This window comes from Homo sapiens, chromosome 2 (assembly GCF_000001405.40).
Source record: "Homo sapiens chromosome 2, GRCh38.p14 Primary Assembly".
Taxonomy (NCBI): Eukaryota; Metazoa; Chordata; class Mammalia; order Primates; family Hominidae; genus Homo; species Homo sapiens.
Window position 1 is genome coordinate 217,276,569 of NC_000002.12, and position 22,179 is coordinate 217,298,747.

The 22,179-nt window shown below is 41.5% G+C and overlaps 2 long non-coding RNA genes across 13 annotated transcripts in view, besides 2 other annotated features; one reads left to right on the forward strand and one right to left on the reverse strand.

Annotated features, from left to right (window-relative positions):
* Positions 1-6,164: 6,164 nt before the first annotated feature.
* Positions 6,165-22,179, forward strand: part of DIRC3-AS1 (DIRC3 antisense RNA 1) — a 61,472-nt gene continuing 45,457 nt past the window's right edge. Inside the window, exons 1-3 of the long non-coding RNA NR_133642.1 lie at positions 6,165-6,241; positions 19,336-19,419; positions 20,064-20,202. This is a non-coding gene — a long non-coding RNA (DIRC3 antisense RNA 1). The remainder of the gene's footprint in view (positions 6,242-19,335; positions 19,420-20,063; positions 20,203-22,179) is intronic.
* The window catches only part of DIRC3 (disrupted in renal carcinoma 3), a 506,425-nt gene continuing 491,696 nt past the window's right edge, over positions 7,451-22,179 (reverse strand). For all 12 annotated transcript variants that reach the window (NR_186298.1, NR_186301.1, NR_186296.1 and 9 more), the window contains one exon: positions 7,451-8,295. This is a non-coding gene — a long non-coding RNA (disrupted in renal carcinoma 3). The remainder of the gene's footprint in view (positions 8,296-22,179) is intronic.
* Positions 14,847-15,347: an enhancer, noted in NCBI's record as "H3K27ac hESC enhancer chr2:218156138-218156638 (GRCh37/hg19 assembly coordinates)". NCBI's record gives its function as "activates a minimal SCP1, AML or CMV promoter by ChIP-STARR-seq in primed H9 embryonic stem cells {active_cell/tissue: H9 hESC(primed)}" and the evidence as "EXISTENCE:reporter gene assay evidence [ECO:0000049][PMID:30033119]".
* Positions 15,348-15,848: an enhancer, noted in NCBI's record as "H3K27ac hESC enhancer chr2:218156639-218157139 (GRCh37/hg19 assembly coordinates)". NCBI's record gives its function as "activates a minimal SCP1, AML or CMV promoter by ChIP-STARR-seq in primed H9 embryonic stem cells {active_cell/tissue: H9 hESC(primed)}" and the evidence as "EXISTENCE:reporter gene assay evidence [ECO:0000049][PMID:30033119]".

Genomic DNA, 22,179 nt, shown 5'->3' on the forward strand with positions numbered 1-22,179 from the left:
TGCGTCTCCTTAGGAGTCTCTCGGCTCTAACAGTTTATCAGATTTTCCTTGTTTTTGATGACCTTGACAAATTTGAGGAATGCTGTCAGGTATTTTGTAGAATGCTCCTTGGCTGGGATTGTCCTGAGGTTTTCACACCGTTAGACTAAGGTTATGGGTTCACACAGAGGTAAACTGCCATTTTTCGTATCAAAGGTACATGCTGTCAGTATGACTTACCACTGGATATTAACCTTGATCACCTGACTGAAGGTGTTTGCTAGGTTTCTTCACTATGAAGTTACTTTTTTTTCTCTCTTTGCACACTCTTTGGAAGGAAGGCACTAGGTACAGTCTACACTTCAGAAGTGGGATTTATGCTCTATCTCCTTAAGAATAACTGCACAAATTATTTGAAAACTTTTTGCATAAGAGATTTGTCTTTTCTCCCCCATTTATTTATTTATCCAGTCATTTATTTGAGTGACATAATTTGTATGTTGGTATAATGTCAGATAATTTCCAGGATGAGTGTCTTAATCCATTAGGGCTGATGTAACAAAATATCATAAACTGAGTGGCTTGTAAACAATAGAAATGTATTCCTCAGAATTCTAGAGGCTGGGAAGTTCAAGATCAATGCACCAGCATATTCAGGGTTTGGTAAACCTTCTTGCCGTATCCTCAGGTGGTGGAGGGGTGACACTCTCCCTGGGGCCTCTTTTATTAAGGGCACTAATCCAAATCACTAGGGCTCCTCGCTCAGAGCCCCCAATCACCTCCCAGAGTCCCTAGCTCCTAACACCATCACCCTGGGGGTTAGGATTTTAACACATGAGTTATGAAGCAATGTAAACATTTAGTCCATCGTAATGAGGAATTGCGGAGTCAGAGGAATATGTGCTTGTCCTTTTGATGGATGTTGACAATTGCCCTTCAATGAGATGGCTCCAGCATACATTTCCGTAAGTGGTGGGTGGGCAGTGCCTATTTCACCCAGCTTTTCCCACATGGTGTATACATAAATTATTTTATTTTATTTTTTCACAGGTCTTAAATGTGGGAAATAGTCTACAGTTTGGAAGACACCAGAGAAAAATGCTCCACAGCTCGCCCTGGTGACTCACTACAACTTATGGGAAGATGTGAGATTATTCTGTATTCTAATGTATGTTAGAAGGCACACTCCACCCAAAGCCTTCCTGTGTGTTCCTCCCTGTGAGCTCACATCCCGTTCACCAGCTGACTGGGAAGGGAAGTCAGGACCAGCCCTGACCCCATCACACCATCATAACCTCGGGATGGCAGGGCTGGAAGGCACCTCAGACGTCATCCTTTGCAGACTCTTCATTTTACAGTGAGAGGCATGACGTGTCCACAGCTGGTTAGTGCCAAAGCCTGGGACAGGCTTCACATTGTCCAGCTCTTAGTCAGAGCACTGTTGACAATGTCTGCCTTCACTTGGAATTCAGCACCTGCTTTCAGTATAAACCCCTGCATTTCACTAAAACTGAGCAGACTGCTGGTTTAAAAAAGAGAGGTCCATCCAGCAGGGATGATGCTTTTCCTCGTTGAAAGAGGACATTCACCTAATGGGAGACCTGGAGTCAGAATCTTTCTGATGTGTGACTTGGCACAGTAACACAATGCAGGATGCTGGTGTGTTAATAAAAATAAAAATTGCATCGCCTACCTCAGAGTCGACAACAATGTCAAGGAGTTAATGTGAGTACATCTGAAAATGTTACTAATCATGATGATGATATCAATGTCTTTTATTTGCAAGTTCCATTTGTTTTTACTGAAATAATTACTCCTGAGTGGGGCTAGAAGCCAAGCACTTGACAAGTTTGCTCTTTGAACCAGTATGGTTGTGATGTGATTTGGAGTTCCTGCTACTCCTCTCCTCTAAATTTCTTGGATTGGAAACTGTCACTCTTCAGTTAGGAATGCTGAACGGATCCCAATGCTTTAGCGGTGGCCTGGACAGAATGAACTAGGGAGGCTACCACATTTGTTTAAAAGTGCACTGTTCTAGACATCTCTATAAGGAATAAATTACTGGGCTCTGTGCTAATCTGTTTGTATGGCTATAAAGGGATACCTGAGGCTGGGTGATTTATAAAGAAAAGAGATTTAATTGGCTCATGGTTCCACAGGCTGTATAGGAAGCATGGTGCCAGCATCTTTTTCTGGTGAGGGCCCCCAGAAGTTTAAAATCATGGTGGAAGGTGAAGGGGGTGCAGGTGCATCACATGGCAAAAGCAGGGGTGGAGTCAGAGGGCAAGTGTTCCATGCTCTTTTAAACAACAACCAGATCTTGCATGAACTCAGAGCCACAACTCAGTTATCACCAAAGGGATGGTACTAGGCCATTCAGAAGGGATCCACCCTGATGAATGATCTAATCACATCACAACCATACTGGTTCAAATACAGATGTGCTGATTGTTAAAAGACCGAACTACTTCTTTACTGGTTGGTAAATAGTCACTGCTTCAAAAACCCAGGGTGACACCCCATTTTGATCACTTCTTGTTCACCCCATTTGTGAGGGAGAGATTCCCCACCCTACACAGAATGAGATGGCTGAACATGATACCCAACAATGGACAGATGAGATTAACAGCAGTTTAGTAGTCACATTTACTCACAGCTCACAGGAGGAGGATGCCAAATGCCTTGCAGGGCCACATGGAGATTGCACTTGGGAATAGAGTGAGCAAGCAGAGGCTGTAGGAGGCCGACTCTGCAGTAACAAGAGGGTGAAGTGCCCCCTGATTCCCACTGGAGGAAGTAGTTGGTTTGTCTGAATACTTTTGTAGGCTTGCAGGGAACTAAAATTCACTAGGTTGAAGGCCACGTGGTGTGCAGCTGGTCTACATGAGAGGTGAGTGAAGGGGTATATGTTACAAGACCAGGAGAATTCACAGTTAGGCCTTTTTGGGTCCTGTGAAGCTAAAACACGTCAAGGCAGCACATGAAATTTTAGGCCTTGTAATAAACACGACCACTCACTTTCCAGCCCTGTACCCAGCTTGCATCTGGATTGCCCCAAGATCCAGCAACAAAAGCATTAATGTGTGGTACAGCAGAAACCTCCAGTCCCTGATCCAGCACAAAGGCTACTTGCTGTCCTTCTGATTTGGTCATGCACATGCTTTACCAGCTGTTAAATATTTTGAATATCATCCTGGCCACAGCCATTAACACATGGTAGAGCACTGTGACTCAGACCCTTTTTCTCTCCTCCTCCTTGTCCAAAGCTCCCAGGAGTTTTATTCTTCCTGTTGACTGTACAATTGGAATGGCCTGAAAAATCCTTATCTCCCCCATCCCTTCTTTAAAACCTTGTTCCATCCAGTTGGAACTAGAAAGGAGAATGAACTAATTCATACTGAGTTGCTGGTTATTCACTATTTCCAGGAATATTTGTGTTTTAAGAATAGACTCTGCTTTAAAGGAATTGTGTTTTAAAGAGTAGACTCTGATTTAAAGGCAAGCCATGAGCCTGCAAGCCAAACCTAGCCCACACCTGCTTATGCACAATTCTCAAGCAAAGAATGATGTTTATATGTTAAATGTTAAAAAAGAAAAGAAGAAAGAACATGCGATGAAGACTATATGTGGCCTGTTAAGACTAAAATATTTACTATTTGGATCTTTATAGAAAAAGTTTTCTGGCTCCTCACTTAAAGCAAAGATTATCTAATGGTAGAAATGAGGACATTAATAATAGGCTAGGACACTGATTTTGGAGCAGGAGTTCTCATCTGGTTCAAGTGGAAATGCTAAAATCAGAGAGATAAACAGAGAATAAAACCAGATTAGAAAGCTGAAGTCGATAATGCCAAAAGGGCCATTGGCAGGAGAGTGTTCAGGACCAAAGAGCTGAAAACAAATGTAAAGAGGCATAAGTATATTAGGGCAGAAAAGGTGGTTCTGGAAGGGTTGCCAAACCCATCCTGATATATATTGTTTTCTTAAGGGCCCAGGAGCTGGGGAGTCTTCAAAAAACAAAGGTAGACATAGATGGAATGTGCAACAGTGAATCAAAAACCATGTAAAACTGACCTACCTGAGGACATAATTTTTTGTTCTCTTCTTACCCTCATATGCTGTTACAAAGAAGAGGACTGGAGGGTTTGAATGGTGTCTTCCAAACAAGACATCCTTGTCTTTGAAATATTAAATGCTAATAAAATTGGCACTTGATATGGCCTGGAATTGAGATAAAGAAAATGGGTAGGCCAGGCATGGTGGCTCATGCCTGTAATCCCAGCACTTTGGGAGGCCAAGGCAGGGAGATCTTGAGGTCAGGAGATCGAGACCATCCTGACCAACATGGTGAAACCCTGTCTCTACTAAAAATACAAAAATTAGCTGGGCGTGGTGGCACATGCCTGTAATTCCAGCTACTCAGGAGGCTGAGGCAGGAGAATCACTTGAACCAGGGAGTCAGAGGTTGCAGTGAGCTGAGATCGTGCCACTGTACTCCAGTCTGGGGACAGAGCGAGACTCTATCTCAAAAAAAAAAAAAAAAAAGAAAGAAAGAAAATAGGTTAAAGTAACATGAATAAGAACCTTTTTCATAGAAAGGATTGGAAAGGTGAGAATGAGTTTCTGAAGGACTACGTGGAGTTTCTCTTCCTGGAGCCACCTTATGGCAGTCTGTTGTGCCCAGGAGTAAGGCCTTCCTGGCACCTGTGAATCCAACTTGGCATTTCTGCCTCCTGGAACCCCAACAGAGTCTTGGAGGCAGGCTTCTGGCCCGGCATTTCCACTACGTGCTTGCATGCATCTTTGTTTCGAAGGGAGGATTGGTGGGTGGGGTGCTGTAGTCTGGGAGACAGTGGGTGGTAAGAGTTTCCAGGAGGACAGAGACAGACTGATTGGCCCAGCTAGTTAGGGTGCATGGTGTTAATGAGGCCAGGTCATATCCCGGTCTCCCACCACACCCAGCCAGCAGTCTCCTTTCAGGGGTCACAAATTTCACTCTTCCCCAGAAAGGAAGCGCCAAGGGAGAGGGTGGGGATAACTCCATGCAAAACCATCTTCTCTGCTGAAAGAAGAATCCTGCTGGTGGATGGTTCTTGGCCTCTTCCTTACATATATCATCTCTCATTCATTCAGGACATGAACACATAGGACACTGCATCCGTTAGTTTTGGCTGGTTAACAACCTTCCCCAAAAACTGATGGGTTAAATCAATCACTGTTTATTTAATTGACAATCCTTTGGGTCAGCTGAGTAGTTCTTCTGGTTTAGGACTTCTCAACTGATCATTCCCCCACTTGCTTATGCATTTGCAGACAGCTGGAGAGTCTGCAGGGGGCTGGATGACTTAGGATGGTCCCACTCACACAGTCTAGCAATTGCTTAGTTGTCAGTCAGGGTAATGTGGGACATAGGACTTTGTGTCTCTTATTCTCCAGTAAGCCAGCTTAACTTTCTTCCCATGCTTTGGTGGCAGAAGACCTAAGGGCAGCAAGAGAAGGCAAACTCCCATGCATATTGGCCTCTAAAAGTTACAAAAATAGGCCAGCGGCGGTGGCTCATGCCTGTAATCCCAGCACTTTGGGAGGCCGAGGCAGGCGGGATCATGAGGTCAAGAGATGGAGACCACCCTGGCCAACATGGTGAAACCCCATCTCTACTAAAAATACAAAAACTAGCTGGGCGTGGTGGCAGGCACCTGTAGTCCCAGCTACTCGGGAGGCTGAGGCAGGAGAATCACTTGAACCTCGGAGTCGGAGGTTGCAGTGAGCTGAGTTTGCACCACTGCACTCCAGCCTGGCAACAGAGTGAGACTCCATGTCAAACAAAACAAAACAAAACAAACTTACAAAAATATTGGCTTAGACTTATTCTAGAAACAGAAGTGATAAGATGGTATTAATACATTTTACACAAATGGTGGTTATTTTAATGCAGATGCTATACTCAATGCTTTACACATATTATCTCATTTAATCTCATGAGGTAGGCTGTAAGCATCTGGTCCAAATTCACTCTGCTATAAAGTGGAAGAGCCAATATTCAAACTCCAAACTTAAACCACTATCACACACAATCACAACTCATAAATTTTAGGAATTGCATGCCTGTTCCAACCATGACACCATTGTTCAAAACTCCACCTAAATTCCTGTTGTCAAATCCACAGAGTCTTGGCAACACAGAGGCCACTGGACAGAGGCATAACCTTGCGTGGCAGCTGCACGGGAATTGGATTTGGCTCAGGTGTTTCAGATGACTAAGGTGAGTGATCAAGCTATATATTTTTGGATGACAACCAAAGTGTAATGAGAAAGAAAGATGATTCAGTTGTGTAGATTGTAAAGTTTTGTGTACCATTTCATCTTTGTAGTATTGGAATTGGGATTTTTAGCTCTTGTTCATAGAGCCAATGCTGCTTAGTCTTTCTGAGACATCAGGCAAATTCTCTTTTTCCATGTTTCAGATTTCTCCTCTGTATAATAAGGGGCTTAGGTTCTACGGTTTCTAAAAGATCCTTCCAGTCCTAGAAATCTCTGATCCTACAATATATTACCCCTTAGAAATGATTATTTTAACGAAAAAGAATGTAAATTTCTCATCTTCAAAATAAAGACATGCCTTTTCCACTACCCCCACTCTCCCACTTTATGACATGGAGGAGATTGAGAAGATGCTGTTTAGTGACAGACCAGATTCCTTTGGAGACCAGGGAGTTGGGGGGAGTACAAATATCATATTCAGGACAGAAATTCAGACTTCAATGCTGCAAGTCTTGCCTCTCAACTCTCCATGCACTATCAATTTTATTATTTATCTACTGACTTTCCTGAGTAGGAAAGAGATCAGGTCAAGTAGCATACAATATCCTTCTTATTCCCCTGCGGATGTCTGAGGCTTCTTTCCCCTTTGGTCCAATCTGATTTGTATGTCTTCTGGGTTAATACCCCCAGAGTGCTCTAGGCTGCTTTCTGCCTAAATGTCACATAAATCAAAGTGTGTAATCTTGCAAGGGTGAGGAGTGGTGGAGAGTCAGCCAGGATCGAGATGCTAAGGACAGACTGAGCCATCCCATTTCCCCACTTCCCAGACCTTGTTCTTGCCCTCCTGCAAAGCCTTAGGAAGGCCTCATGGGGGGAGCTTGAACTCATTCCCACGCACTCCTGATGGTTCCAGCTACTCAACCTTTTACTAAATGGCTCTGCACAGCTGTTTCTAGTTACGTGTCTATTTACGTTGTTGGTGTACGTGTGCTTGTGTACCATGTGTGCATCTTATCCCCTCAGTTCCCCAGCTACCCGAGGCCTCCAGTGAATCCACATGATGTCATTTGGAATCCCAAGTGGAGGCAATCACAAAGCAACATAATGTTCAAATTCAGCAAGCATTTACAAAGGTTGTATGCATCTTCTTTGTCATTCATAAAGGCAAGGGAAGTTAGAATTCAGGAAATAAGATGCAAAGACTCATGAATGTCTTCAGATTCCAAAAGAGTAAATTTTACTATTGGAGTACAGTTAGATTGTAATCCTCTTGAAACAGATACTTTTTCCTTTCTTAATCACCTAGATGACAAATGTAAGACTTACCCCTGACTTGGTCCATTGATTTGTTCATTCACTAATTCAACAACATTTACTAAGTTTCTCCATGTACACTGGACTGCTCAAAGCTCTATAGGAGATACAGTAATGTGCTTTGCTGCCTCTGAATGGAGCAGTGTCCCTCCCAGCCTATGGGCATGGCTAAATTTTAGAAGGATTCTTCTGCTTGTCTTCAACTTCAAAGATCAGCCTGAACACGGAGTGAAATCACCAGTGTTCCTGGCAGGAAGAGACCCTGTTCCACACCCAACACATCATCCTAATAGTAGGCTTTTGACACAGTCCTATTAAATAATGAAGCATGTCTCTGTCTAAGTTTATATAATCAGTACTTCATAATTCAGAAACTTTGCCTCTCAGAGGTCGATCAGCAAGCTCAGTGAGTTCCTATAAACCAGTTTGAAAGGAATTACTGTCTGGAGGCATACTCCCCATTCTGCCTGCCATGGTTGCCAAATGGTGGCTTTTCTAATTTTTTCATTCCTTTCTGCATTTATTAATTGACTTTCTAATATAAGGAAGAGCTTTCTTTTCCTCCTACTCATTTAGTTAAATCAGATTTTTCTGATTTAACTAATAGGCTATAATCCTTTATTATTACAAATTTATTTTGATGTCCACGATGTCCCAGAGTTGGCCAGTAGAAGCGCCCACAATCTGGCTTCCGTATCCTTTTGAAATGTCTCCATCATTCTTTGGGAACATTCTTAATTTCTGAAAAAAAAAAATATATTTCAGGTTCATCTTTTACTTTCTCTCCCTTAGCTACAGAATCAGTCATTTTTTTTTCAAAGAGCCCTAATTCCTTTTAGTAGAGAATAGTATTTAAAAACCAAGATCGGGAAGCCAGGTGGTCTCGCTGCACTGCAATTCCTTGGTTTTAGGCCCTCTAAGAATACACAGCTAGGAAATAGATTTATGTACACACACACACACACACACACACACACACACCTGCATCCACATACATCTCAATATTTATATCCACATAGGTCGATCTCTTTTTGTAGCTATCTAGATAGTATATGCCATGAGTTCTCACTGAAAGCTCCAATTCCAATCCAACACCACTGAAGTGTTGCTAACATTTCCCCTCACCATGTTTGTAACTACCTTCTCTTATAAGGTGAACACTGGCTGCCATCTTCTATAATATATTTACTTATTTGCTCAATACTAGAATTCACACAGAATAGTTTCAGAATTGCTATCCTGTGCCTCTATGAAAAGCAAGCCTCCCTCCACAGAACCAATGATTGTTTAGAATTTTATTCTTTGGCCCGAGCACATCTTGTCAAAGAATACATGAGTTAGTTAGTTCTTTCTTTAGCATCAGGTTAGTTTTTCTTTAGCACCAGCCTTATTTCCCCTCTTCAACATCGCTTTGAGACATGCCCTGAATCTTTGTTTTAGCCATCTCCAAAATAAGCTAAAGCCTCATTTTTGGTGCTCTGGTGCTGCTGCTGGAGCCAACACATGTCTCTCTGGAACACCAAGTAAATATTCAATGCATGTTTGCTCACTCCGCCTTCCTGTGAAGCTAATCCAACAAATAGATGACAGAAATATCTTCATTTCCACAAATGCACTTGTGAGCTTATAATAAGAGTCTTATCTCCCAGGGCTATCCACATTCCCATGGCTTCCCCATTCCCCATGTTTAGATACCAAAATCCTTCTTCACTTTTAGACAAGTCTTAATTCATCTTCCCTATAAAGGCTTCGTAATACCTCTTTACCTAAACATAGAGCCTAGCCCCACAAATGCCGTGTTCATAGATTTAGAAGCTCGTTTCATATTTATCAAGTTCTCACATTCTCCATCTTTCATATTTTAAAATATTTATTTAATTAAATTTATGAGCCAGAAATTGAAAAACATATGGAGTGAAGGGAAGGAAAGAAGGAAAAAAATAGCTCATTCATTCAACTTTTCCCAGCTGCCATTCCTGACTCGGGAGATTTGGCTGAGTTCTTGGTTAATGCCATGCAATAAAACTTCCATAGGATGCCAAATTTAGGTCCAGCATGAAAAGAAAACAAAATCCCTCCTATAAGACAAACTATTCAATTTGGAAATGGGATTTTTTTTTTAAGTCCTGCGCTTAAACCTTCATAGTGATTGTTTCCACAAGGGCGAGAATCAGCCCACCCCTTGGAAAGCTTCTGAATGGGGCAGTGTAGAAAATTTTAAGAAACATTTATTTCTCTGAATGGAGAACTGTTACTCTTGGGGGCTCTGCTTTCTCCTTTTTGGACAGAATCCACTCTGCCCTATCCCGGCTAGAAGAAGAAAAGGTGTAGCGTGCAGGCAGGGAGGACGAGTCCAGGTGCTGGACACTGCACAATGGGTCCTATTCTTTGTTATTTGCAATCCATCTTTCTCAAAGTTGGCTCACAAGAAGTACATCTCCTTGTGCAGTTAACCCGCTGGACTACCCTACCTGAGAACATGGGTGGGTACTTTCTCAACACATATAAGGTCCAACACATGACAAGTGACAGAGTGAGATGAAGCTTTCCAAACTGGCATGAGTTTTGTACAGTTTCATATATGGTCTGATTACCTGGTTACCTACGGTCTGGTCACCTGGTGACTTTTATTGTCCTGTCTCTACCTATGTATGTATGTATCTCCACCTATATACTTTTATTGTCGTATCTCTACCTATGTTTTACACACACACACACGCACACACATTATATATATGTTATGTTGCAGTTATATTTTATTATCACTTTTAAGATGGAAAGTTTTGCATTCCAGGAAACCCTCAGTCCTGAGAAGACTGGGGCATTAGATCACCCTGTGTTGCAGAGTTTTTCAAATGGCAAGTATTAATTATTATTTAGATTGCACATGTATTTACGCCCCAAACTAAAATGCTCTGAAACCACATCTTTAATAGTTGGAATTCCAGGCCCTTTCTGTGGTTCCTTTGACCTGCTATTGCAGAGAATATTCTGTGGCTGTGAATAAATCTTGGCCAATCTTCTATAAGCAAGAAAGGAGCCCAGATGCTCCCCTCAAGATGAGACCCAGAAAGAGAAGTCTGGTTGTCACCACATGATCTGCCAGGGTTTCCTAATGGATCTGCTATTTCAAATGACGAACCTGATTTGGCAAAGCCAGAGGCCCCTCTCATGACCTATGTGTAGTGAGAAGCTCCTCTGTGTGTCACTTGAATGTTGAAGGGTCATGGCATTTATTTTGAAATAATGATAACGCTTTGCTCACAGGACATACATGCCCATTTGGATCCAGGCAAGTTTTAGCTCAGGCAGCACACTGTTTTCATTACTTCTTTCTCATGGTGATGTACAGTCTAGTTTGTAAATCCAGACTTTCCCTTTCCTTGGAGTGAGTTCCTTCTCAGGAGTCTTGTTCTGCTGTCCTATGGCTTATCATCAGTTGGGAACATCCTAGTTTATTAGACACTGGGTGTGCAATACTCATACTGCCCATCTCTTCCTGTACCTATGGCTGCATGGATAAAAAGGGAAGGCGGGTCACCCATGTTTACCGGCCAGAAGCACTTGAACCCCAGAGGAAAACTCATCTATCACAGAGGGTGGGAAAGGAAGAGTTGAGGAGAGGGACTCTGCCATGGTAACTGGGCTGCAGGCCCTACGACCAGCCAAAATATTTTACTGCATGGCATTTTATAGCACATAATCATTGTCTTAGTCAGTCTAGGTGACTATAACAAATTACCATAGACTGGGTAGCTTATTTCACAGTTCTGGAGACTAAAAGGCCAAGATCAAGGTGTTGGTAAATCCAATGTCTGTTGAGGGCCCACTTCCTGCTTTGTAGATGTCCATCTTCTTCTTGTATCTTCACATGGCAGAGAACAGAGGGAGGAAGCAAGGTCTCTCATGTCTCTTTTAATAGGGCATGAATCCCATCATGAGGGCTCTATCTTCATGACTGAGTTACCACTTAAAGGTCCCATCTACAAATACCGTCATCACATTGGGGATTAGAGTTTCAACATAATTGGATTCATGGAATCCAATTCCATGAATTTGGAGAGGGACATGAACATTCAGTCCATAGCAACCATTCATGCACTGGGGCTATGTAGGGGATAGACACTTTATTCAGCTGCAGATTCGTCTTGTACAAAGTTTCTCTTCTACGATGTCATCAAGGTCTCTCATCTGTTTGTCTTTTTCTTCCCCAAACACTATAATCTGAATGGGTTGAAACCATTTTCTGATGGAAATGTATACCTTAGACCAGTGGTCCCCAACCTTTTTGGCACCAGGGACTAGTTTCACGGAAGACAATTTTTTCCACACACAGTGGGGTGGGGGATGGTTTCAGGATGATTGGAGCACATTGCATTTGTTGTGCACTTTGTTTCTAGTATTACATTGTAATATATAATGAAATAACGATACAATTCATCATCATGTAGAATCAGCAGGAGCCCTGAGTGTGTTTTCCTGCAACTAGGTAGTCTTATCTGGGGGTCATGGGAGACAATGACAGATCATCAGGCATTAGATTCTCATAAGGATCACGTGACCTGGATCCCTCACATGCACTGTTCACAATAGGGTTTGTGCTCCTTTGAAAATCTAATGCCATCACTGATCTGACAGGAGCCAGAGCTCAGGCAGTAATGCAAGTAATGGGGAGTGGCTGTAAATTCAGATGATGCTTGTTTGCTGCTCACCTCCTGCTGTGCTGCCCAGTTTCTAGCACACCACAGACCATTACCAGTCTGTGGTCTGGGGGCTGGGGACCCCTGCCTAAGACTATTGCTCATTGTCCTGTGCAATTTTGATAAGTTCCACAATGCTGGCAAATTCACCACTATTATTCTCATTATTATCAGCATTAGTAGTAGCAGTAGTATTCGCAGTAGCTAACATCTGTTTAATAATTTGACATTACTAATATTCTTTGACAATCCTGAAAAAATGGGTAATTGAGATAATTTACATTTGTTAACTTGAGATAATAATGCATTTCTGAACGAGAACATGGAGCCTCAGGAGGTTCAGTAACTTCTTTAAGGTCACACTGCTAGCAAGTGGCTATCTATCTCTATTTTTATTAAATTCAAGAGAACCAGAAACCTCCCTGAAGTCTGCTATCTCTAGGTCATTTAAACAGAGAGACACCAACTGGAGGCATCCCAAGTAAGGAGGAGTTTTAAATCCATGATAACTTTGCAGAGGCTGTTGTTATAGGAAAGGTCAAAACAGATCTGTCTGAAAGCTGTCCCCACCCACTACAGAAGCAAGAAGGCCTCCAGGCTGAAAAGACACTGGAGGCAATTTAATACAGCTGCCCTTAGCAGGATAGCACTTTGGTATTCTCCTTTAAATATTTATTTTCTAATTTATTGAAAGGTGATAGTCACTGCTACATGGGGAAAGGGTGGAGGACGGTGACCCTTGCTGGATGCTTTCTACTTCCCTCCTTGCAAAATAATTTGCTGCACTTTTTCTTTGGAAAATGAATGATAGCATCAACAGATTCACCCTCCTCAGAAAGGAATTTTAGCAGTCATCAGTCCTCTCACAGGCCCCCTGGGGGTCTCGCATTGTCTGTTTGCACCTGCAGCCCTTCCCCCAGTGTGGCATGTCCTCATAATCTTTGACAACTTCATGGAATGCCCTCCTGGGAAATCCAATTTTATCCTTTTTGCTGCATTTCTGGGTGCATTTTAGCATTTCTTATGGATTAGCACTTCAAGCAGCCATTTCATAAGCTTATTCCCCATCTATCTTGGCATTTATACACAGACATCAAATTGTATTAGAATTGAAAATGGAAGGGGGAAGGAGGGAGAGGTGGAGAGTATCTGAGTAATCAATTTGGTTCTCTCCTGCCCTTAGGCTGTGTTGACACAGCTTAGCTCTCGCCTGCTCCTCCCAGGCAAGCTTATCTGCTGCACACTGAACTCCATTAATCTTCTTGAAAGGCAAATGTGTTCAGGACAATGTTAACACTTAGCTCTCCTGAAAAGAAGACAGATTCTATGAGGTACAGAGTCAGGGCTCCAGGGCCTGCACTGGCAGTTCAGACAGGCCTCAGCCAGAAGGATTCCGTGTGGAAAGAGTGGACAGCAGAGCAATGGGCTTTGTGAACCCAAATACCAGCATCAAACCAGGTCCAACTAAACCAAACCAAACTAAGGGAAACCAAATATCAACAGAAAACAAAGCCATCCCAAAGACAACAACGACCGAATAAATGCCTGGCCCATTTTGAGGCAGCATTAGCCAGATTTACCTTTGGGTTTCAAGTGGACAAAACAACTAAATGATCATTATTGTTTAAATTTTAACAAGTGATTGGCATTGTGTGAGGAGTCCACACAATAATAGTAAATGACTTAAGAGAAAGAAGTATTGTGGAGTATGTATTTTTGGCCATAAAGACACCTAAAGCATTTCCCTTTGATCACCATTGCAATATCTGCCTTGTGGAGCTCAGAGCTGCCCTCACACAGGCAAGAGGATGATCTACCTGGCCCTGTCCAGGAGGCCCTGCTCCAAGACCTCCCCTGATACCAACCACATAGTCTCTGGGATCCAGTCATTGCACTGGAAAGAGGAATGAATTGATATCTGTTTTGTGGGCCCCTTTGTGCTGACCCTCCCATGTCATGTCACCACTGTCCCCCTGCCTCCTTATTTTCTTTCAATAAGGAGATTTGATAGACCATTCTTATCACTCATAGATCTGTAATCCCTGGCTGCATCCATTTGCTAGAAACCCTGAAAGACACAGGGTAATTTTTAATGTTTCTAGGACAGGAATTTGAATAGCCATACAGCTCTCTCCTGCACCCCAGTATCACAGTATTCATTTATTATATATGAACCGAATCTGGGAGGAGGGGGTTGCTTCTCAGTAGGGCTTTATTACAAGAGCTATGGAAACAATTTAATGTAACTTCATTGACTTACATTGAGTGATTTTTTTTTAAACCTGCCATATATCTGCCACAGATATCCAGAACCTATTGTATTGTACGTGTAGCCCCCATCCCCATGCTTGCTTTGGGTAGGAAAGTGTCTGGGTAGGAAAGCAGGGGAGACATGTCACACTGGGGGCCAATTGGTTCACTTCTAAGGGTAAGTAATAGGAATCCCAATTTTGGCCACTTGATGTATGTCCCCAAACCAGTTTTCCAGGATTATTTATGGCTCCATGCTTTGCACTTATAGGGTGGCCTCAGAAGGCTTTCCTCCATTAACAATCCCATCAGGTGACTTTGAGAGCCACTTCCATGAGATGGCTGTGTTGACAACTCAGAGAGTTCCACCACAAAGGCTGACTCAGTCCGAAAAAATGACAGCACATAGATGGAAGGCAACAGGTGAAAAGCAGAGGTCAGACTTTCCAACGTTGACCACTCTGGCTTTGATTACACCAGGTAGATGTGTGGCACTGAAACGGGAAAGTTCCCTGATGCCCCTCACCAGATGTTTGACAAGGATGTGGCCCACCCGTTCAGTCGCCCTGCTGCTGAAACCCCTTGTGGGAGGGAGAGCAGGCAGGCAGGTGCAGAGGCTGGGGTGAGTGCTTTGGGCTTCAGCCCCATGGTAGTGTCTAGGGATGGGTGCTGCAATCCCACTGTTACAAAGCTCTTTCAGCTTTGCTGTCCACAGAGAGCTTGAGTGTTAACCAGCTCAGTGGACCCTCTGCCTTTTTACAAGGGCAGAAGGCCAGTGTGACAGCTTTCTGTAGCCCAAGCTCTTGCCCAGTGTCCCAGAAAAATTGGGTCACACACAGTCTTGAAGGATGAATGTGAGGTTTTATAGAGTGGTGGAGCTGGCTTTCAGTCAGATGGATGGGAACCCAGAAGCTGGGGATGGAATGGGATGATGATCTTCCCCTGGAGTTGGGCTGCCCAGTGGCTGGACTCCTCTCCAACCACCCCCAGCTGAACTCCTCTCGGTGTTCAGATGTTCCTCCTCTTCCTTCTTTCTCTGCCGCATCGTTTGGCTGTCCACCTGCTGGTCTGCTGGTTTGCTGGTCTGCTTCTGGAGCCCGGGCTTCGGGGTTTATATGGGTGCATAATAGGGGACATGGCAGGCCAAAAGCCAACTTTTTGGGCACGAAAACAGGAATGCCTGTCCTCATTTAGTGCCACGGTCTTCAGGCTTGAGGGTGGGGCCTTTGCCGGGAACCACCCTCTTCTACCCAGTATTTCGGTCTCCTGTCCGTATCAGCACCCTTGTGCAATTGCTCATGGTTAGGCTAGCTACTGCCCTCTTGACTTAGTAAATACCCTACAGCCACTGTCCCCATAGACATGGCCTGTAAATACTTTGTGTAAAAGATTTGCCTTTCTCTAATTATATGCCAGATGTTATGAGGGCCCACCAGCCAATGGCTCATATACAAAGGAAGCTTTCTCTTTTTCTAACCAAGTGACTGCCTTGGCCCATAGAGAAATGAACTCTTGTCACCTGTTAACACCTTCTTTCTGCTCCTTACTAGCTGTCCAAAAAAAAAAAAAAAATAGATACAGTGTGTATCTAATTGGTGAGGGTGGGCCTGGTTACCATTAGACAGTATTGTCTGTGCTACTAAGTAAGATTACTTTGCCTCAAAAGCAAAACATTCATTCTCTAGTGTGCTTTCCTGATTTGTGGAGGACTCACTTTACTCTGACAGTGTCTACATGTTAAGTGAACAAGCCAGGAAATCCTCCCTCTTTCTGTTTTTGCTTTTCCACCAGTGTCTGGGTAAGAAAGTGGGGTAGACATGTCATACTGGGGGCCAATTAGTTCAGTTCTAAGGGTAAGTAATTAGGAATCCCAATTTTGACCTCCCATTTGATGTATGTCCCCAAATCAGTTTTCCAGGAAGATTTATCATCTGGATAACAAAGCTGGTGTTTTCATCCCATTTGACTCAAGTATTTCTGTGTATATTTGATTGGCAAAAACCCTGGAAGGAAAGAAGATGCCTTCAACCTAATCTTTACCAATGACATTAGTAACATCACTCTGACTGACTTCACACCTGCTGCTGATGCTACAGCGCAGCCTCTTCTCAGAGCAATCCCACGTAGTATCCTGTGAGACATAGGTGGTGTTTCACTTGTGCTCAGAAACCAGTCCCTTTCTGCTTCAGTCTCCTCATGGCAAAGTGTTGCCCACAAGTCTTTCAAGGGAGGAGTTTCCCCGTATCTGCTGCTGCAGGTGCCTCCCCTGATCCTCTGCGAGGCCACTGTGGTTCTCTCTTCCTTACACTGCTGTTGGTTCTTGCACAGAAATGGGAAGTTTGTCCTTATGTTTATTCCGGGTAAACTTGGCATCTGGTTTCCAAGGATCACTCCTTATGGTCCAGATTTCATTATGGAAGATGCTTCACATCAAAAGCATCTTTAATTTCTGCTGAAATCCTCTCCTATATCTGGTCAATCTCATCTTTTAGATTCTTAGGAGATTAGCATCTAACAGATTCTAGACTATTACCTTTATTTCCCATTCCCCTTCTGCGGCTATTGAAAGAGATCTTCCTGCAAATTGAGCCCTATTTGTAATTAATCCCCTAATCATGATAACCCCGAATCTCTGTTTCAGTTCACCAGATCTATCATGGCCACAGATTTGATTTGTATAAATTTGGTCGCTGTATTAAATAGGATTAGGCCAAGTATGCTGTAGTTATAAACAACCCCAAACCACAGTTCCCATAACAACTAATTCTGGCAGAAATAGAGAAAGAAGAATTAGGAGAGCTAGAAGCTCACAAAATTGTAGAACCTCTTCTTGATCATTCAGAGGGGAATTTTCAGGCATTTTTTACTAGAGTTCAGATTAGGATAAATAGATACTTGTACCATTGGAATAACATTCAAAACATACTGGGATCACAGAGATACAGAGACACCATAGATTCAAGAAAATTTACATTTAGCTTATGTATGTATTTATATGCTATCTGATGCTCAGAAGAACTTGAGGTAGCTTACAGCACAAATATAAACAAACAATAAAATAAAGACCAAATAAGAACAAAGACAAATAGAAAAGTAGAAAATCTAGACCATGACAAAGAAGAAAACTGATGTATAAATATAATAAAAGAGTTCAAATTTACTCCTGGGTTTCTTGGCATTACAAAGCAAAAGTGACACAATTATTATTAAGTAAACAAATAAAAAAGACAGCTTCAGAATGCCCATTCTTTCAGCTAAGCAAACTTGAACGAAACATAGAATTTAGAATCTCCCTTGTCAGCCAAGCTTTTGTTAGATTTTGAATAGCAAACAGTTCAAAGTTGCATTCATTGGTGAATAGTTGGTGTTTGCAAAAGTTTTTGAGAGCAGACGTATAAGCTCCAAATCCTGATAGAAAGATAAAGTTGAGTAGCTTCCCCCAGGTCTTTTGCCTGCCATCTGCAAACCAGAGGTTTCTATACTAGGGACTTTGGGACAGATTCCAGCACAGAAAAGGTCTCAACTGATTTACCAAGTGCTTCTTAGGAAGCTTTTGCACAAGATTATTTAGAATTGAAAAATATTCCAACCAGTTGCTCAACCTGTCTGCTAAAAGAAAAAACATAATGAAAGCTTTAATAATACTACTGTTTAATGATCGATGCGGGGTGTCCCAGTTCCTAGGGAATCTATCAGGTTGAAATAGTGCCAAAATATACTCCCTCAAATCTCAAAATTAACTAATTTACTCTTCACTTGAAAGTAAGTTGACAGAAGCGAGTGGAAACTTGGAACTTGTAGCCAATTATGATCATTTCGGTTTTGAACTTGTTTTCCATATTAACTGAGGGCTAGATCTAACTGTTGAGGTCACCTCTGATTTGTAAAAATTAAACAATATTATCAATGTATACAATGTAGCAATGTATACCTTCTTTTCTTTATTGCATCATCTGCAACGTGTTCATCTAAGGATGGTTTTACTTAGTAAAGTTATAAGCTAAAAATAAGACAGACCAGAATACAATCTCAAAAGTATTCTATAATTTGTCAGATAGTTTTACTCAACGCTCATTTTTCTGAAGTATCAAGGTGCAGGGATGCAGACTCAATATGGAAAAACACTACATAAGAGTTTATGTTATATAGTTTACCCCATATACGGTATCTGTTACAGGTCTAATATAGATTAAAAGTCCAAAAGAGTTGGAAGTCAACATATGTATGTTAAAGTCAACATATGAATGTTTAATTATAGTAAGAATTATTGGCTGGGCGTGACGGCTCACCCTTGTATTTCCAGCACTTTGGGAGGTTGAGACAGGTGGATCACTTGAGGCCAGGAGTTCGAGACCAGCCTCACCAACATGGCAAAACCCTGTCTCTACCAAAAAAATACAAAAATCAGCCAGGCTTAGTGACGCATGCCTGTAGTCCCAGCTACCGGGGAGGCTGAGGCCAGAGAATTGCTTGATCCTGGGAGGTGGAGGTTGCAGTGAGCCAAGACTGCACCACTGCACTCCAGCCTGGGTGACAGAGCGAGAGAGACTCTATCTAAAAAAAAAAAAAAAAAAAAAAAAAAAATGTATACTGACCAGAGTCAACCAATCAGAACATTTTTCAAAAAATTATGGTTTCACCTTTTGGGTAGGATGTAATAGATTATTGTTCCCACAGCCACAGTCAGACAAGCCCATACAAATTACTCAAAAAAGTCACAATTTTGAAGAATCAGAGATCTTTGGAGGCAATGAGAACTGGAAAAATTAAAGCTATAGAAAGAAAACCATTTCAAGGTGATCTGATGAACATGTCATTTTTTTTTTTCCAGTTGGGAGCATTTGACAATTTTAGATGTGGGATGAAAATTGCCTTATCTAAGACATAGGGCACCTGCAGAAGTAAAGAGAAACAGGTAAAGCTTTTGGCAGTCACACAGACTTAAAGTTACCCATTAGAAAACTTACAAGACTTCAAAGGCATGGCCATATGGGACACTTACCTAGTTTTGGGTGTGTAAGAAAGCCGAACGAACTAGATAGAAATCTTTAAAGCATAAAATTTTACACATGGTGCTAAGAAAAACCCATAAGAGCAGGGTTCTACCTCAAGACATTTCCCAAATTTAGAATTTGCGTGGAAAGTAAGGCTAAAGAGCTAAACTGAAAGTCTGTGAAGGTAAGGACTGAATCTCCCACCATTTTCAGGACTAATGCTCTCAATCACACACTTAAGAGCCATACCTGGCAAACAGAAGAAAATCAAAGGAATGAAATCATGTTATCAATGTATACAATCATGTTACCTTCTTTTCTTTATTGCATCAGCATCTGTAACTTGTTCACCTAAGGATGGTTTTATAAGCTAAAAATAAGAGAGCCCTCATGCAATCTAGTTTAGAACCTTCAAAAGTATTCTATAATTTTTCAGATAGTTTTACCCAACCCTTATTTTTATGGTAGAACTGGGTTTTACAACTGAAACCCAGGCCAGGTTTAGTTCAATTCCTGATTATATTGAAGTAATTAATGACTGACCCTTTCCCTTTCTGCCTAACAGAACAAAGGGGACCACTCTTGGTATAGAAGTTCATCTCGTCGGGAGCATCTGTGGTTCTTTTATAAGCAATGTACATTCTACAATAGAGGCAGACCCAGAAATAATTCAGATATTGGAGTTAGAAGATCAGGATTCTAAAGTAAGTACAATTAATATTTTCAAGAAAACAAAGGAAAAAGTGGACAGAAGAGATTAAAGTATGGATAAATTTAGTTAGCAATTTGAATATTTTTAAAAACAGCATTAAACATATATTCTGGAAAGAAAATGTACAATGTTTGAAATTAGGAACTCATTAAATGGACTTAGCAACAGTTAAGGTGTTTTTGATCCAAGTATTTTGCTGTCTCCAAACTGAGGTACAGAGAGGGGAAGAAAGTAAAAAGGAACAAAAAGCTGTAAGAGGCATGCAGAACATGTCAAAAAGCCTAATGTATATATGATTGGCATTTTAGAAAAAGCAGAAAGAGGAAATGGCCTAGAAGCAATATTGGAAGACATAATGACTAAGAATTTTCAAAAGCTGGTGATGATCACATAGATTTACAAAGCTTAATGAAACTCAAGCAAGATAAATACAAACCAAAGCGTATCCAAGCACATGATGGCCAAACAGCTGAAAAAACAGGAGCAGAGAGAGCGTCTCAATAGCATCCAGAGAAAAAAAGACAAGTATTCTCAAAACAGCAACAATAAGAATTATAACTGACTTCTCAATAGAAATGATGGAAGCCAGGAGAAAATGGAACAAGGAGACAGAGGACATAGTTAAAGTACTGAAAGAAGGAAATACCAAACATAATTCTATACCCAGGGAAAAGACACTTTAAACTGAAAGAAAAATATTTTTCAGGAAAAGAAATAGTAGAATTTGTCATGACCAAGCATGCTCTACAGGAAAGACCAAAAAACGTTCTTTAGAAAAAAAAAAAATCATTCCAGAAGAGAACATGAAAATGCAGGAAAGAATAAAAAACACTGGAAAAGATAACTATGTGGGCAAATATAAATTAATATTGATTCTTCAAAACAATAATTGCAATATTTTGTCATTTCAAATACAGTTGACCCTTAAACAACACAGGTTTGAACTATGAAAATTCACTTATACATGGATTTTCTTCTGCCTCTGCCACTCTAGAGACAGCAAGACCAACCCTTTCTCTTCCTCCTCTTCCTTAGCCTATTCAATGCAAAGGTGATGAGGATGAAGAACTTCATGATGATCCACTTCCACTTAATGAATAGTAAATATCTTTTCTTTTCCTTAGATTTTTTTTTTTTTTTTTTTGAGACAGAGTTTCGCTCTGTTGCCCAGGCTGGAGTGCAGTGGCGCGATCTCGGCTCACTGCAAGCTCCACCTCCTGGGTTCATGCCATTCTCCTGCCTCAGCCTCCCGAGTAGCTGGGACTACAGGCACCCACCACTGTGCCCGGCTAATTTTTTGTATTTTTAGTAGACATGGGGTTTCACCATGTTAGCCAGGATGGTCTCAATCTCCTGACCTCGTGATCCACCCGCCTCAGCCTACCAAAGTGCTGGGATTACAGGCATGAGCCACTGTGCCTGGCCAGAATTTTCTTAATAACATTTCCTTTTCCCTAGCTTACTCTATTGGAATAACACAGTATATAACACATAGCATACAAAATATGTGTTAATGAACTGTTTATATTGTTGGTAATGCTTCCAGTCAACAATGAGCTATTAGTAGTTAAGTTTCTGGGAAGTCAAAAATCATATGCAGATTTTTGGCTGTACAAGGTATCAGTGTCTCTAGTCCCTGCATTGTCCAAGGTTCAACTATATATGTAAAACTAAAACTGATGATAAATGTAATGCATTGCAAAGGGAAGTAAGTAGAATTAAAAGGTTCTAGCACTGTGGAGAAAGTGGTAAAAGTGATAGTCTGTTTTGACCATAATAAATCAAGGCTACATGTCATAATCTCCCTGATAATCACTAAAATATAGTTTAAAAAATATTCATAGAAGAAAAAATGGAATAATAAAAATGTTATTAATCCATTATAAGTCAAAAAAGGATTAAAAAAAGATAGAGGAAAACAGGTGAGCCAAAGAGCAAACAAATAATAGAAGGTCAGATATATACATGA